Raw genomic sequence first — 16,646 nt, 5'->3', positions numbered from 1 at the left:
AGCAGGGTGACTGCTTGTTCTGTGTATTTTCCTTGATGCTTTTTGATGATTCTTGATGATTTTTGACTTAAGCAGAGTCTAAAAGCTGTTATAAGCTCCTGCTTTATAACAACTCCCTCCCTACTGCCTAGAATGAGCCGAATAATGAACAGTAGTGAAGAAGCTTGAATTTAATTCACTCTGTGCCTTCATCGCAGATTTGACCAAACCTAGGCTTTTTCCCTTTCTCCCTGGTGATCTATGTTTTTTTCTCTTCTCACCACTTTGTGATGCAGGTCTTTGGTGAAAGATACTGGCTACTTTAATTTTATTGATATAGTCAGTGCTGCACCATAATTGCTGAGATGTCTCTCCCAACTTTACACAGATAATTCTTCCTAAAGAGAAGGAATTCAGGCATTAGAAAGTAGGCTTGCAAAGACTGGGTGGGCTCTGAAGCCAGTTTGAATTCCTGTTCTGCCACTTGCCAGTTCTGTGGCTTGGGGCAGATTAACTTAACCTCTTTAGGTTTCGGTTACTTTAACCCATAAAGTGCAGATGAATCAGAGTACTACCTTACAGGGTTGTTTTCAGTGCCTAACGATTTAGTGTGCACAAAGTGCCTTAGCATTGTGCCTGCAGACAGTAAATTTTGTGTTGCTGTTGTGTTAGAGGATTAAAAAAGTCTTGCTTGGTGGAGAGACAGACGTGACAGCCTGGGTGAGTATCCCCCTCTGAATCAGCAGCCTTTGTCATCTTTTTTGGAACAGCTGTAGCCAGCTTGGACCAAGAAGTCATTTCATGTTACGTCCCTCCAAACTGGCAGGATCATAGTTCCCTATCACCTCTCTACTAAACAACAAGCACTGGTTCTTGGCCAAATCCCAATTTCTTCAGCTTGCCAATCTCCATCTCAGTTAGGCACAAAATAACACACACTCTTAAAATACTTGTTTAGCACTGACTAGAAGAACTCCCTCCCTTTGGTGAGGTAGGGCCTGAGTAATGTACTCTCCTCATGATGCTAAAAATCCACTAGTTATTTTCTTATCTCATTTGATGTTCTAAGAGGGAAGGCATGTCTGCTGAACCAAGAGATAAAGTTGTATCATTATGACATCTCCATTAGGATAAGCTATGAGTTCCTATCATGTTCTAGGTACCAGGCACAGCATCTTGTATGTGTCATCTCTAATCCTCCCAATAACCCTATAAAACACTGAGCCCTGAAGAAATGAAGTAGTTTGACCCAATTTGGACAGCAGAAGTTGCGAGGGAAGTAAGATTATAACTCGGCCAGGCCGACTCCAGAGCCTATGCTCTTTCCCCTGCTGTCTACCATGCTGTTTATTACTGCTTTGCTTATATTTGGATTATAGAAAATAGACTGAAGCTCCAAGACACCAAAGATGTAATTTTTTTTTTTTTGAGACGGAGTCTCATTCTGTTGCCCAGGCTGGAGTGCAGTGGCGTGATCTCGGATCACTGCAACCTCCACCTCCCGGGTTCAAGCGATTCTCCTGCCTCAGCCTCCCGAGTAGCTGGGACTACAGGCGCATGCCACCACGCCCGGCTAATTTTTGTAATTTTAGTAGAGATGGGGTTTCACCATATTGGTCAGGCTGGTCTCAAACTCCTGACCTCAGATGATCCACCTGCCTTGGCCTCTCAAAGTTTTGGGATTACAGTCATGAGCCACCATACCCGGCAAGATTTAACATTTAACCAAAGTAGATGGAATATGAAAAATAAAAGCCCGGAGTTATTAATCCAAATGTGTAATGTTATTGAAGGTTTTATCTTATGAAGCTTATTCTGAAAAAGTGTCAGGGCTGACACATTTTGGAAATGTCTTCAAACCTCCTTTGAAGGCCACACACAAAAGCCAGTCCCATTATTTTAATGTCATAATTGGTTCTTTTGACCAAAATAGGCATGAGCTGACCACTAGATTCACTAGATTTGTTTTTAAGGAACCTGTTCTTGTTATCAGAAATTAAGTTCGCCTTTAAAGAAACAGGCTTTGCCCCAGCTGAGGGATATTTCAAAGCAGATGACTCCAAAAGTGGAGGTCCAAAGTTGTTCTAAGCAGTGGTAATGTTGTTAAAATGAGGTCACAGCAGCTCTTTGCCCCTTGAAATAATTCTCTCTTGGCTCCTGGGACATAGTTTACTCTCCTGTTTCTCTGTCTATGCCTGATACCCAAGCTTGGTGCCTTCCTTCTTCTTTTCTCCCCTTTCCCCCATGGCACTCTCTTTTTTTCTTTTAAGAAAATCACCTCTTGTTTTTCAGTTTTTTTTTTTGAGACAGAGTCACACTCTGTCGCCGAGGCTAGAGTGCAGTGGCACTGTGTCGGCTCACTGCAACCTCTGTCTCCTGGGTCCAAGCAATTCTCCTGCCTCAGCCTCCAGAGTAGCTGGGATTACAGGCATCCACCACCATGCCCGGCTAGTTATATTTTTAGTAGAGACGGGGTTTCACCATGTTGGCCAGGCTGGTCTTGAACTCCTGACCTCAGGTGATCCGCCCGCCTCGGTCTCCCAAAGGGCTGGGATTACAGGCGTGAGCCACGGCGACTGGCAAGGAAACCACTTCTTAAAATGTTTATGTATCCAATATGTGCCTAGTGCTTTCTTTCAAATCTTTTATTATGAACATTTCCAAATATACAAAATGTAGAAAGAAGAATAAAACCCATGTTCTCTTTACCCATCTTCAGAGATCCTCAATATTTTGCCATATTTATTTCACCTCTATCCCCTGCCATTATTTTTTTCTGGAGTATTTAAAAGTAAATCCCAGGAGAACATGTCATTTCACATTTAAATACCTCATTATGCATCTGGAAAAATAAAAAGCACATTCTTCACATAAACACAATGCCATTAACACATCTAATAAGATTAACAGTAACTTCTTTTTTTTTTTTTGAGATGGAGTCTTGGTCTCTCACCCAGGCTGGAGTGCAGTGGCACGATCTCGGCTCACTACAAAGCTCCACCTCCCAGGTTCACGCCATTCTCCTGCCTCAGGACTACAGGCGCCCACCACCATGCCCCACTAATTTTTTTGTATTTTTAGTAGAGATACAGTTTCACCGTGTTAGCCAGGATGGTCTAGATCTCCTGAAAACAGTAAATTCTTAATATCACCTAATTTATAGTTCACATTCAAATTTCCTTAGTCTTCTTTTCCCACCTCATGGATAATCAAACCAGCTGCTATCAAGGCAACATGCTATTGCATTGTTGATCAATTTCAAGGTTTTATCTCATTCATCCCCTTTTCTCTTCTGAAAAACACCTCACAAATATGAAAACAATATAATAGATAAATCAATATATTTTTTCCAAATTTTTTAACTTATTACAAATTACAAATATTTTCCTACATTATTAAATACTCCTTGAAAACTTGACTTTTTCTGGCTGCTTCACTGGCCACAGAATATGTGCACTGATATTCTATGATCCATATAATTATTCCCTATTATTTGTTGGATACATGGTTGTTTCATCTCCCTTATTATAAACAGCCCTGTGATGCATACCCACAGTTGACCTTTCTGCCCTCACTTTTCACCATTGAACACCTCCTGTGCTTCAGCATAGGCACAATTTGATATTCCCCACATACTGTGTTTTTCATCCACCTTCTACCTATACATATGGCCTGGGAACCCTTTTTCATTCTCCAAGATAAAGCTTATCTCTGAGATGGCTTTACTAAGGCCCTTTGGCAGAATTAGTCATTCTTTCTCAAATCCTTCCAAAACACTTTGTGCATTGAACATTATTTACAGTATTTCCTAGTATTTTGTATTTACTCGTGAACCTGTATTTCTACTATTAATATAATAAGCTGTGAGCTTTATAACACTTCAGTTTTTTCATCAGTAGATTGAAGAGAATAATATCAACTCCGTGTGTCTAAAAAAAAAAGACGTAAGGAATAGGAAGAATGAATCGTATTATTTGGCAAAAACAGAAGCTTTAGAAAAGTTAGTTTCCCTCTCTTCCCCTAAAAAGAGAAAGTGCAAATGTTTCAGACTAAACTTATATGCTTCAGAGGCAAGAAGTTATTAAACTTTCTGCCAGTTATAGGAAGATAAATGGAGTATACCTGAGATGCTGGGAAAGGGGAGCCAAATGGCTTAGAAGTTAGGGGTAGCCCAAGGCGCTTTAAGAGTTGCAACATCTTCTCTACAACAACCCATCTCTATTCTAGTCACAGTTCCTTAGATGAAAGAAAGGGAAGACCTCACGTTGGAATGTAAAGATGGAAACTCTTGACCTCCTCTGAATCACCTGTTTACCTCAAGGTCCTTATTAGGCTGGGTTGGCCTAGGCAAGAGGAGGCCAAAAGGCACTCAGGGTGATCTATTGTTACCTAAAAGGTGAGGAAGATGGTTCACAAAAATAAAAATTTGTAGGAAATTTCGGGTTCTCTGAAAGGTGCATTTTTATCTTTTAGGATTCACATCTTCCTAGAGCTGGAGGAAACAGGGGTTGGCCTATGAACAAGAAGTGATACAATGGAAAGAACAACAGAGATGTAGGCAAGAGACCTGCCTTCTGGTGTTGGCTCAGGGCATGACCATAGGCACATCAGTTAACCTTGCTGGGATTTGGTTACAGTGTAAGGGGATTGGACAAAACTGGCTCCAAGGTCCAAACGGACAAAAATTCAAAGAAAATAGAAAGGTTAAGTGACTGGCTCATTATCACTGTATTTCTAAGAAAAACCAGAGCATGAAGTTGGAAGAAATATGGAAAGTGATGTAGTTTGAAAACTGTTAAAAGAATCATATGATTTTCAAGAGCTCTGATCTAGGGTTGGAAGTGTGGCATTTAAAAATGCATTTAAACCTAACTTGGACTACATAAAAATAATTTCCTTTTTCTGCTGTATTCCACAAAGATCTGGAAAACATTCTCAGCCCTGTTTCAACCTTAAATGAGAAAAGAATCTTTAAAGAGTCACTGATTTGTAATGGAAAACTTGGATAAATCACTATTTATACTTGAAGATTTTTATATTTCTTTTTGTCCTTTCTTCACAACACACAGCTAAGAAAAGCCATGATGTAAGTCTGCCCTACTGGACCTCATCAGTGGTTGTTTATTCTGTATCTACAGCCCAGCAGCTTCTCTGACTGCAGCACGTAGAAAACAAGAAACCAAAGAACACTTCCAAACTAAAAAGAGAGTAAATGTCAATTAATTTAGCATGAGCATAGAGAAAAAAAAGTCAGAATACCTAGCTTTTTATCTGTGGTCCACTGTTTGTAAACTAAAATTATTGAAGATTCCTGAATCTTGCAGACGAGGAATCTGCAAACTGGGGAAATAATACCCTGTCTCCTGATGTATCAAGAAACATGCATGTGAAAGGTATCATTACAAGCATTCACCTGATAAGCTAAACTGGAAGAAGTTTTCATTAAACACCTACTATCAAATTTTTGGATCCATACTTAAAATTCCAACTGGAACCACTATCAGAAAAGCTGCTAAGATCTTCCCTGAGTATATACCTTCACCAATTCACTGCTTTAGTTGTGTTTAATATCTGGGAAATTATACCCAATTCCATGCATATCTTTAAGAAAGACCCTGGGCTGAAGGGGCACAATCAAAATGTGTTTGTGAGTTGTGGGTGGAGGAGACTGAAACTAGGTGGTGTAAGAAATGAATAAAGAAACTGAGTGTTTCATTTGGAATAAAGAAGAATAGAGTCCTTTCGGTTAAAGGACTACACTGTGGCAAGAAGAGTAGCTTGGCTTGCTTTAGTTCTGGAGGCAGAACCAGGATACACGAACTAAAGTTCCTGGGAGCTGGATTTCAGCTCACAACAAGGAAGCACTTTTGGACACTCACAGGCATATAACAAGTGAGCAGGTGATGATGGAAAATACTAAGTGCCTGATACTATGGGTGATGGATGAGAGACTACTGCACCACCTTCTGAAGCTCTTATTTGATTTTCTCTCTGTGGCTTTGACTTTCTCTTAGGACTTAGAATCCTTGGGAATATGAACCTGAATCATACATCCCCACTTTCCAATCCCTTGTCTAAAGACTTGTCTATGCCCTACAAGGAAAAATATCACTAAGAAAATGTTTCAATGATTTTTACTGAAAATGGGAGAAAAAAGATAACGGAGGCCAATTACTAAATTAGGTTATCTTGTTTTCAATTGTCTTTTTTTAGCCATCAGATAGCTTTACTGCAGCTGGCTGAGTTTAGTGTCTTCAAATGTGGGTGAGTAGGGCAATAAAAGGAAACTTTTTTTTTTTGAAAGACCACATAAAATACCCAACAGGATTTTTTCCCCTAATCTGGCCATGTGAGCACAACCTGGCTGTTCTGCAACTGAGCGCTATTAACATCTATTTATAGCCACTATTTTCATAGATGAATCACATTTACCATAAGTCAGTTAATATTAAAGGGGCCAACCAGCTCTGCTGAGAACCCCATAATCTTAATACATCTCTTTCCATTCTTTCAGGGAACTAAATCTTAGCTTAAAGGTTCTGTGTAAAGATAGGGGGAAATGCAAGTGCAAATGTAAAGATAGCAGACAGTCTGCCCTCTAAACTCAGCAAAGTATGGGGTGTTAAATATATTCAAATTTAAAGCCTTGGATCACTCCCAGCTTTGTTCCTTGGCCATGAGTGTCGTACAGTTAGCACAGACTCACTCCGTGTTATGCAGTCTTCTTGCCATCAAAACAAACAATTTATGTCTAAAATTTCCCACTACACTAAGTTTAAATGACTGCCTTAATAAAATGTTACATGCTTAAAAACAGAACTAATGATGGTTAATGGTGCTGTCAAATTAAAAAATAGTGTAGTGCATACTCAGTTCATTTCATGCATGTGAGGGTGTCTGTGAGAGGGCTGGGGGTGAGGGATAGCAGATCAGGGTATTTATGATCGAAAGTTTACAAAATTCAGTGAAATTAAATGGAGATTTCCAGTAAGTTACGTGGATCTAACATTTCTTCCCCACCCAGCACGAGTGTGCATGCACGCGCGCGCGCGCGCGCACACACACACACACACACACACACTTCCTGAGCCTTTTGCAGGCACCAGTGCTGCCCTGAAATTGATATTAATTTATTTGTCTTTGCTATCTCTTATGAGAGTCTCCACCTTAATTCACCTTTACCAACTCCCTTCCTACAGGTTTTCTGTTTTTTTCATTTACTTCAGGCTAAAATTCTTTAAGATAAATAAGATAAATGAACTGAAGCACTTAAAACAGTGCCTGGCATGTGGTAAGAGGTCTATACACAGCTACTTCAGTAGATTCTCAGTACCCTTTTTCTAATTTCTAGCCAGTGGTTTGCAAATGAATCATCTTTACCATGAGGCAGCTCCTATTCAGAGCCAACCAGCTCTGCTGAGGACTGCATGATTCAATCACTCAATAAATCCCTGCTGAGGTCCAACTCTGTAGGACATGGGGATACACACATTAACAACAGGGGCCCTGTGCTAACCAAATATGAATAATAAACCCATTAGCAAGTACCATTATCTCCATTTTACATTTAAAGGCTCACTGACGCCCAAGGCCACAGAGCTAACATGTTGGAGCTGTGATTTAAGACCAGTTCTATTTGATTCCACAATCTCATACTCTTTCTATTAAGACATGTCTCCTGCCACTTCAATATGACAGCAGTGGTTGAGAAAAGCACATGAAAATTTAAAAATACATAGTTTTTGCACATAAACAATATATGAAAACAGAACATCTTTATTGAATAGACTCAAAGGCTAGGGGTTTGTGAATTTATGTTACTCACATTTTTGTATAATTTTGGATACTCAGAATTCAACAAATTGGAGATTGGTCCACATATGAAAATAAGCTAGGCTGGGCATGGTGGCTCATACCTGTAATCCCAGCACTTTGGGAGGCTGAGGCGGGTGGATCACCTGTGGTCAGGAGTTCGAGACCAGCCTGGCCAACATGGTGAAACTCCATCTCTACTAAAAATACAAAAAAATTAGCCACATGATGGCAGGCGCCTGTAATCCCAGCTACTTGGGAGGCTGAGGCAGGAAAATTGCTTGAACTCTGGAGGCAGAGGTTGCAGTGACCCGAGATCACGCCACTGCACTCCAGCCTGAGTAACAAGAGCAAAACTCCGTCTCAAAAAAAGAAAAGAAAGAAAAGAAAATAAGCTAGTTAAAACAAAATTGCGTAGCACAATACTTGACATAGTAGGGCTTCATTTCATAAATGTTTGTTGAATAAATTAATGTTAAACCAGGATTTTTCCTTTACTATGTATATCTTTTTATAAAAGCTAAGTAGATACAGCATAGTGATTTAGTAGGCTCTGGAGCCAGACTGCCTAAATTAGGGCCTGACTCTGACTCTGCCACTTTTTAGCAGTGTGACCTTTGGCAAGTGATTTAAAAAGGCTTCAAGCGGGCTGGGCGCAGGTGGCTCATGCCTGTAATCCCTGCATTTTGGGAGGCCGAGGCAGGCAGATCACAAGGTCAAGATCAAGACCATCCTGGCCAACACTGTGAAATTCCACCTCTAGTAAAAATACAAAAATTAGCTGGGTGTGGTGGTGCGCGCCTGTAGTCCCAGCTACTTGGGAGGCTGAGGCAGGAGAATTGCTTGAACCCAGGAGGTGGAGGTTGCAGTGAGCCGAGATCGTGCCACTGCACTCTAGCCTGGGCGACAGTGTGAGATGCTGTCACAAAAAAAAAAAAAAAAAAAAAAAAGGCTTCAAGCTTCAGTTCCTTCCTCTGCAAAATAAATGAGTTAATCAAAGGAAGGCATTTAGAATGGGCTTGTATATGATAAGTAATGAATACATGTTAGCTACCATTATTACTATTATTTTCTTTCTCTAAATTGGAGTAGTTTTGCTTGGCTACCTCGATACCATATTAAATGACCAAGACCAAAAATGATTTCTTTTTTGAGGCTTTTCACTTACTTGATACAAGCAAAAATATCCTCTAGTCACATCCACAATTCTAAAACAAAAATGAGTAAGAAAATGAAGACTAAAAAGTATGTCTAAGTAGCACCTAACTATGTAGAGTAATTTTTAATATACAACATTAATAAAGAATGATTTTTAAAATTTAAATTTTATAATAAGTAATTGGCTGAGGGGCTGCTGGAGGAAGGTAATGAGTAGAATAGACTTCTATTTACATTTGGCCATTTCCTGCAAATAAATTAAGTAAATAATTACAAACTCTCTTCTAGTCCTCTTGCATGGACACATCCTTACCAAGATACACCATGATTTCAACTAACTTAAGCCCAAGTAAAACTGACTAAAGGAACTACATAGGAAAACAAAGCAGGATCTACTTCTCACTGCCAACTGCACTGTATTTGTATCCATAGATACAAGACAACAGAGAGTCCCAGAATTCTAAAGCGGGAAATCCCGGGACTTCAAAGATCATCCAGTCTCAGGTCCTAACCCTGCTATCACGGGATCCATCAGGGGGTGAGGAACAGGGTAGAGGTCAAAGGAAACAATCCTTGGTCCTTGTTCCAGCCTGAGTGATCTCATGGGACAACCTATCCCAGTATTCTCATTTTATAAGCAACAACACAGACCCTGGCTAATTAAAGGCAGAGCTGGGATCAGAGGCTGGGTTTCCTGATTCCCAGCCTACACTCCTGAAGGTTATCGTTCTAGGGTTATGACAGTCACAGATAACAACACATTAGGCTGTGTTAAACTGACAACTAAGCAGGTTTTTTTCCCTTGTAAACTCACTAGGTACTAGGTCAGCACTTCATGAAGAGTAAAGTATCATTATTTGGCATACACAAAAAGCAACTTTCCTTTTTTTTTTTTTGGTACCCTGAAAATCCCAAACCACTGTTGCTATTACAAAATTTTTCTTTACCCTAGTATGCACCCCTGGGCCAAGCACAGATGCATTAAAAATTTGCCAAGAGAAACAATGAAGTCACTGATAATACAAAGCATGAGAGTATCATGAAATTCATGTCTTTGTTTTCTTCCTCTAGATACTTAATTATTTCTCATTACTGATCATTTTGTGGTTATTGGCAGAGGGGCAAGGAAACTCCACCACTGTAAACATGTAGAGACACATGCTCCTCAGTAGACCAGAAGTCTGCATATGATGGGTCTGTTCACAAATCCAATGTGAACACCACTTCATTAATCAGTGAGAATGTTGATGCTACTATCCCCAGCCTCCAAAGAGAATTGGTGGTCTCAGTAAAACTCTAATCTCTTTAGAAGAATAACAAACACAGTATAAAAATGTTTCAGGTCATTCCTTTTTTTACCACTTATGAATATCATCACTGGCAAATGATCTATGTTCTCCTACCAGATTTCATCTAACCCACTTTAAGAGTGAGGTGAGGAAGCTAGAATGTATACAGAGCTCCATTCAGTCTTCTGTTGCAGCTCAGGGCTGCCTTAAGCTAAAAGGGCACTACTTATGAACAATGTTTAGCAAATTACCCTGCTAAATAAAAGCTTACATTATCTTGGTATTCTGGAAGGGATATCCTAGATTAAGTTGATGAGGGCAGAGAAATTCTCATTGATTAGCAGCAGGATACAAGTTGATTCTTATCAGTAGACTATTGTTCCACACAGGACTATGTGGGCAAGAGGAAAACATAGGAATTCATCATGTAAAATGAAAAAAACAAAAACCAAACCCTATGTACTTCCAGGAAATGAAAAGAAGTAAAGAACCAAATATATTTCGCTCCTCTTTTAAACTAGACTTTTATTAGATTTTCACAGAAATCTGAATCTGTGGGTGTGGTGAACTTTTTCAAAGATGGCTGCAGTTAATTCCTTCCATTCCTTTGCAATGTGGCCTTGTATCTTCTTCCATGTAGAGGTGTAATCTATTTCCTCAATCTTGAATCTGGGCTGACATTGTGACATTCTTTCACAAATGAGATGTTGGGAGCTTCAACTCTCACGTTCTTGGAATGTTATCCTGAGACCACCATGTGGGGAAGCCTGGTCTAGCTTCTTGTAAGTTGAGAGTCACATACAGCTGAGATGAGATGACCCGGCTGAGGCTCTCCTAGTCCAACTAACCAACAGCCAAATACGTGAGAGCCCGTCTTAGACCATCCAGGCCCAGAATAGCTGTAAGAAAGCTGAAGCTGTGGAGTAACCCACAGAATTCTGAGCCATTGTTATTTAGCCTCCATCCAAGTTTTGGGGTTGTTTGTTAAACACTAACATGTACCTGAGACAGTTGGGCACAAAGTAAAAGGAGCAAGCCAGTCACCCTAATGCATGCCCATTATGTATGGAGCACCAGGTCAGATACGCCATGTGAGACATGAATGAAGAATAAAATTGTCTTAAAAATATAAGACAAAGGACATAGATGGCCCTATAATTAATCTGTGAACATACCTATAAATAAAGCAGAATGTAATATTTACCTATATTAAATATATTTATGTAACAACCTTCCATTATTTCTATAGCCCAGAGTAAGGATATTCCTAGGTGTTCAAGAAAATACAATAGGGGTGGGGAAAGATAATTAGAAATCCTGTTTATGTATAATTTTTCATTTTTGTCTTTTTTGAATGTTTTTTATAAAGCACATAATATACTGTGGTAGTACATGAATATTTTTATAAATAAATAGATATACACACAATGAGGTTTTTCCCAATCTCATCTCTTACACATCCCCAACCTCCCATTCCTACACAAAAATATCCCTTCTATGCCTTTGCTTTTCTCAAATAAATGAGCCTTTCCCTGGCTACCTAGGGAAGAGCCAGTGACAACTACTGTCACACATCATTGTTCATCTATACCGTATTTGTAAATAGTCTCTTCAGTAAGGCTATAGGCATTTTTCGGACAAGGTATTTGTACCAGTGTATATATGCATTTGTCTTAGGCAATACAGCATAATGACATTACGGCATGATTTTTAAGAGTGTGGGTCCCTGAGCCAGGTTTCCTAGACTCAAATCCCAGTTTTGCCACTTATTAGCTGTGCAACCTTCAATAAGTTTCCCGTGCTTCCATTTGTTCACTGTAAAATGGAGATAATAATATTCCCTACCTCATAGTGTTGTTGTGAGACTTGAATGAGCTAATACATGGAAAATGCTGAGAAGAATGCTTAGCACACATAGTAAGTGCTCCCTCACTTCCAGATCAGGTCATTGGACCTGAAGAGGGTGAATGTCCTTTTTGTTTTGAGACAGAGTCTTACTCTGTCACCCAGGCTGGAGTGCCGGGCGCGATCTTGGCTCAATGCAACCTCGGCCTCCTGTGTTGAAGCAATTCCTGGGCTTCAGCCTCCTGAGTAGCTGGGATTACAGGTGTGTGCCACCACACCTGGCTAATTTTTTGTATTTTTAGCAGAGATGGGGTTTCGCCATGTTGGCCAGGCTGGTCTTGAACTCCTGACCTCGGGTAATCCGCCTGCCTCGGCCTCCCAAAGTGTTGGCATTACAGGTGTGAGCCATTGTGCCTGGCAATGGGTCAATGTCTTAATCAAGTTCCACAGCTGATTTGTGACAGAATTCTTATCACCTAACACAAGGGAAAAAAATGTGCAAGAATGTTTGAAGTAGCATTTTTTTGAATACTGAAAAAAAAATATTCAAAAACAGTAAAATGAACAAGTAAATGATGGACTATATAATGAAATATTCTTACAGCAATCAAAATACATAAACTACAGTAAAATAGAACAAGGAAGAATCTCAAAAATATAATCTAGGATGAAAAAGCAAGTTTTAGAAAGATACATTCAATATGGTATTTACATAAGGTTTGAAAATGTAATACTATACATTGTTCAGCAATATATATGTACATGTTTTTAAAAAGTATGAAACATACAGGGGAATGATAAATACCAAATTCAAGATTACGTGGTTACTTCTGGAGTGGGAAGGGAGGAGAAGGGGTTTCAGAAGAGATACATACATTATAATACATCTATAATACAGTACTTAAAAACTGTTTTCTAATATACAGTAAATTATTAAAATTTTATAAATTTGTGTGGTAGCATATAGCAGTTTGTTATGGTTTCTATACTTTTCTGGACACTTGAGTTTTTCAGATTTTTAAAGAAATACTACAAACTAAAAGTAAGGTACTGGCGATGATGAAAGTTTCATGATTTGTAGGGACAAAGAGTAAAATTAATAATCTGCTTATATGCCATAGAGTCAATTATAAGTTCAACTGATATTTTCTCTCCTAGTTATAAACCTCAACAGTGGAAGAATTTTTCTTCCTATTATAAATTCATTTGGATGATTATATAATCAGATGTGGAGCTAATGTGTCCTTTAAACATTAATTTATTTTATATTGTTTCCAGAATGGCCAACTACGTTAGGTAGTAGTATCTCCGCTTTGAAGATGAGGGTCCTAAATATAAGCCCTTGACTTACCCAAGGATAGATCTAGAATTTTAGAAGAATGTCAGGAATACAGGAATACAGCCAGGGACCAAGCCTTCATTCCTTTAATACTAGACTTGGCCTTCAAAACAAAATAATGCAGTAATTCTGTAGCAGTAACTCTGCCATTTCTGTCCTAATGCACTTTTAAAGGCTAACAAATTTTAAAAACAAAACAAAAAACCCCATAAAAGCTCCCAACAATTTTAAAGGAAATACTATAAAGTAAATCTGAAGAAAGTTAGAAGAATTAGCAAAGTCACCATTTTACAATATTATAATTATGTTAAGTACGTCTTAAGCAAGCACTTAGGGTCATGGTTGGAGGTCTGACCTGGGTTCCTGAGGTGGAATGCTTGGGGGATGAAGTTCAAACACAGCCTGTTTACCCATGGACATAAGTGGCCTTAATCAAGACAGAACACCTTTTTTTAAATGTTTGCTTTAAAAGCAGAAGTGCAAATAAGACTGTGATTTATGAATCTGCTAATATCCTTCTCTGCTGTAGACATCAAAAAGATTGACTTTGGGGCTGTGGTAAATATAACAAGAATGTAGACTTGTTAAAGCAGTAATAGGTACTCTTATTAAAACTCCATTTCCATTAAGCTTTACAAATTTTCTTCCCTCCTTCCAGGCTTTAAAGAATGCGTTCCAGAGGCAGTGATACCGAGGGCTCAGCCCAAAAGAAATTTCCAAGACATACTAAAGGCCACAGTTTCCAAGGGCCTAAAAACATGAAGCATAGACAGCAAGACAAAGACTCCCCCAGTGAGTCGGATGTAATACTTCCGTGTCCCAAGGCAGAGAAGCCACACAGTGGTAATGGCCACCAAGCAGAAGACCTCTCAAGAGATGACCTGTTATTTCTCCTCAGCATTCTGGAGGGAGAACTGCAGGTCAGCTGGGTTGGAGTTATCCCCATCATGCTTCAAACAGAAGGCTGCTTGTGAATTTGGTGTTCCTGCTGCCACAGAAATAGATATCTGTGGTTCATACATGTGTGTACATGAAAGCAAAGCATAAGTATATATACAAAGAATTCTCCTCTGCCAACTCAAAGTGCAATTAATCCCATCTAAAGGGGCTGTCATGATGACATGTGATTGGCATACAGGTCGTGAAAGGTCACATCCTCTGCCCATGCTGCTCAGGAGCTTCAGTGCACATGCATGCATCAGTAGCAATAATGCCAGATGACTTCGGGATTGGTTTAAACAACAATAGGTGCTTTTGTACCCCAAGTGAACTGGCTCCTAGACTAGCCCTGGCATTATTAACCTACATGAAAATCTAAAAACAGCTGGTACACATATAGGAGAATTTTATTTCCTACCCCCTGAAAATCCAAATGCTAGTACATTGATGGATATCATGATATCTGCTTGTCAAACATAATAAAAAAAGTAGTCCTCCAATGTTGTATAGTAATCACTTTTTAAAACATTAATTGTGTAATTAGACTACAAGAAGGATGAAGGGATATAGTTTTGTTACCTTTTATAAAAGTGTGAAAATGAAATATGATTCATTTAGATTTGAAAGAGAAGAAAAAGCACTGCCAACTATCACAAAAATCACTTGCTGAGACTGCTGGTAGAGACAGCAGGCTTTCTGAAATACTTTTTGTTCCTACAGGCTCGAGATGAGGTCATAGGCATTTTAAAGGCTGAAAAAATGGACCTGGCTTTGCTGGAAGCTCAGTATGGGTTTGTCACTCCAAAAAAGGTGTTAGAGGCTCTCCAGAGAGATGCTTTTCAAGCGAAATCTACCCCTTGGCAGGAGGACATCTATGAGAAACCAATGAATGAGGTATGTACCACAATAGGGGTGTGTACCTGGGAGGCAGCCAAGCACTAGCCCTGCAGATGAGCATGATCTGTAACTCCTCTTTGATTCCTTACAGTTTTACTTTCTAACGCACTTAAAGCCTACACAAAACAGATAAATACGACAAGTTCAATAGGAAAGTTAAAAAGAATGAACCATAGACAGGATGCGTCCACTAGGTTTGTTGCTTGAATCAACCAAAATCTACCAAATGCCAGAGAATGCTCCCCACTCTCACGTGCATGTGCAGGCACATACACACACAAACACACACATGCACACACATACATGTGCTTACACACACACACACACACACACACACACTCTGGGAACTTGCAGGGTACCCAGGCTGTAATAAAAAACATAAAGTTCAACCATAGAGGTTAATTTTTGGAAAACACTGAGGTATTATGTCATAGAAATTTTGAACATGAATGGAAATAATCTAAAGAACTGTCCAAGAAATAGAGTTTTTAAAAACATATATTTTAGATGAGTGCATACCTTCTTTTTCCTTCAAAGTTTAATGACAGCAAAGACCTTTCCCTCACCAAGCGTACCTAGCAATTACAACGGCAAAGGTGGGCAGTCCCAACAGGGCCACCACTAGGGAGAAGGCAGTACTGCTTGCTCTTTTACTTGCTGACATTTCTGAAACCCTTTGGAATTCTTATTTTATTCTTTAATTTTCCTCTGAGACCTTCATGGAAAATTTCATAATTTTTCATTTTTATAGAAAAGAAACAACTAGGAACATGAGTTGAGGCTGGAGAGTGAAAGCAAGTTTCAGACAAATTTCCCTCAAATAAACTCTGGCAACCTACCTCAGGACTGACCTCTAATGTCCTTGCTATTCTCGTCTTTAGTATCTCATGAGAGAAGAGACTACTGTCTTGCCAAATAGTGAAGGAGTTTGGTCATATGTATCTGCTTCTCTACGGGGTGAGGATGAGACCACCCAAAGTCTGTTGATTTGCACTTTAATCCAAATTTTAAACAAAAGGAACCAGAGCTGCATTCAAGTGAATACTGTTAAAACTGTATCCTGGCTCCCAACATATTAACTATGAAACAGTGTCAGGCACAAATTCCCCAACCCCTGTGAGCTCAAATGCAAATTAATGATCTCTGAACATAACCCTAACAAAACTCTACAAATGGCATAACCTCTCAACACTTCAGTGTGAAATGGAACAGGATGATTCCAAACTTATGTTGAAATCGGTGGGAAAAAATTTAATTACAAAATAATTCTATTGTGCACATGCAAAATTGGAAATACCCCCCTTCTACAAATGCTTGCAGTCTTAACTCTGTAAGGTGCCCCTGAAAGTTACCCATAATCTGGCCCTACTTTACAAGTCCAGCCTTTT

General features: G+C 39.2%; 2 protein-coding genes and 1 long non-coding RNA gene across 6 annotated transcripts in view; 1 reads left to right on the top strand and 2 right to left on the bottom strand.

The window, feature by feature from the left end:
• Positions 1-16,646, bottom strand: part of CMSS1 (cms1 ribosomal small subunit homolog) — a 363,871-nt gene that overhangs the window by 236,622 nt on the left and 110,603 nt on the right. The window lies entirely within an intron of this gene.
• Positions 1-16,646, bottom strand: part of LOC105374010 (uncharacterized) — a 223,532-nt gene that overhangs the window by 96,283 nt on the left and 110,603 nt on the right. The gene's annotated exons all lie outside the window — the stretch shown is intronic.
• The window catches only part of FILIP1L (filamin A interacting protein 1 like), a 285,691-nt gene that overhangs the window by 169,391 nt on the left and 99,654 nt on the right, over positions 1-16,646 (top strand). For all 4 annotated transcript variants that reach the window (NM_001387852.1, NM_001387850.1, NM_182909.4 and 1 more), the window contains exons 2-3: positions 14,081-14,342; positions 15,082-15,255. In NM_001387852.1, the coding sequence (NP_001374781.1) occupies positions 14,091-14,342; positions 15,082-15,255 (426 nt within the window). In that variant the 5' untranslated portion in view covers positions 14,081-14,090. The remainder of the gene's footprint in view (positions 1-14,080; positions 14,343-15,081; positions 15,256-16,646) is intronic.

This window comes from Homo sapiens, chromosome 3, assembly GCF_000001405.40.
Source record: "Homo sapiens chromosome 3, GRCh38.p14 Primary Assembly".
Lineage (NCBI taxonomy): Eukaryota > Metazoa > Chordata > Mammalia > Primates > Hominidae > Homo > Homo sapiens.
This window is presented reverse-complemented; position numbering and strand designations above follow the sequence as displayed.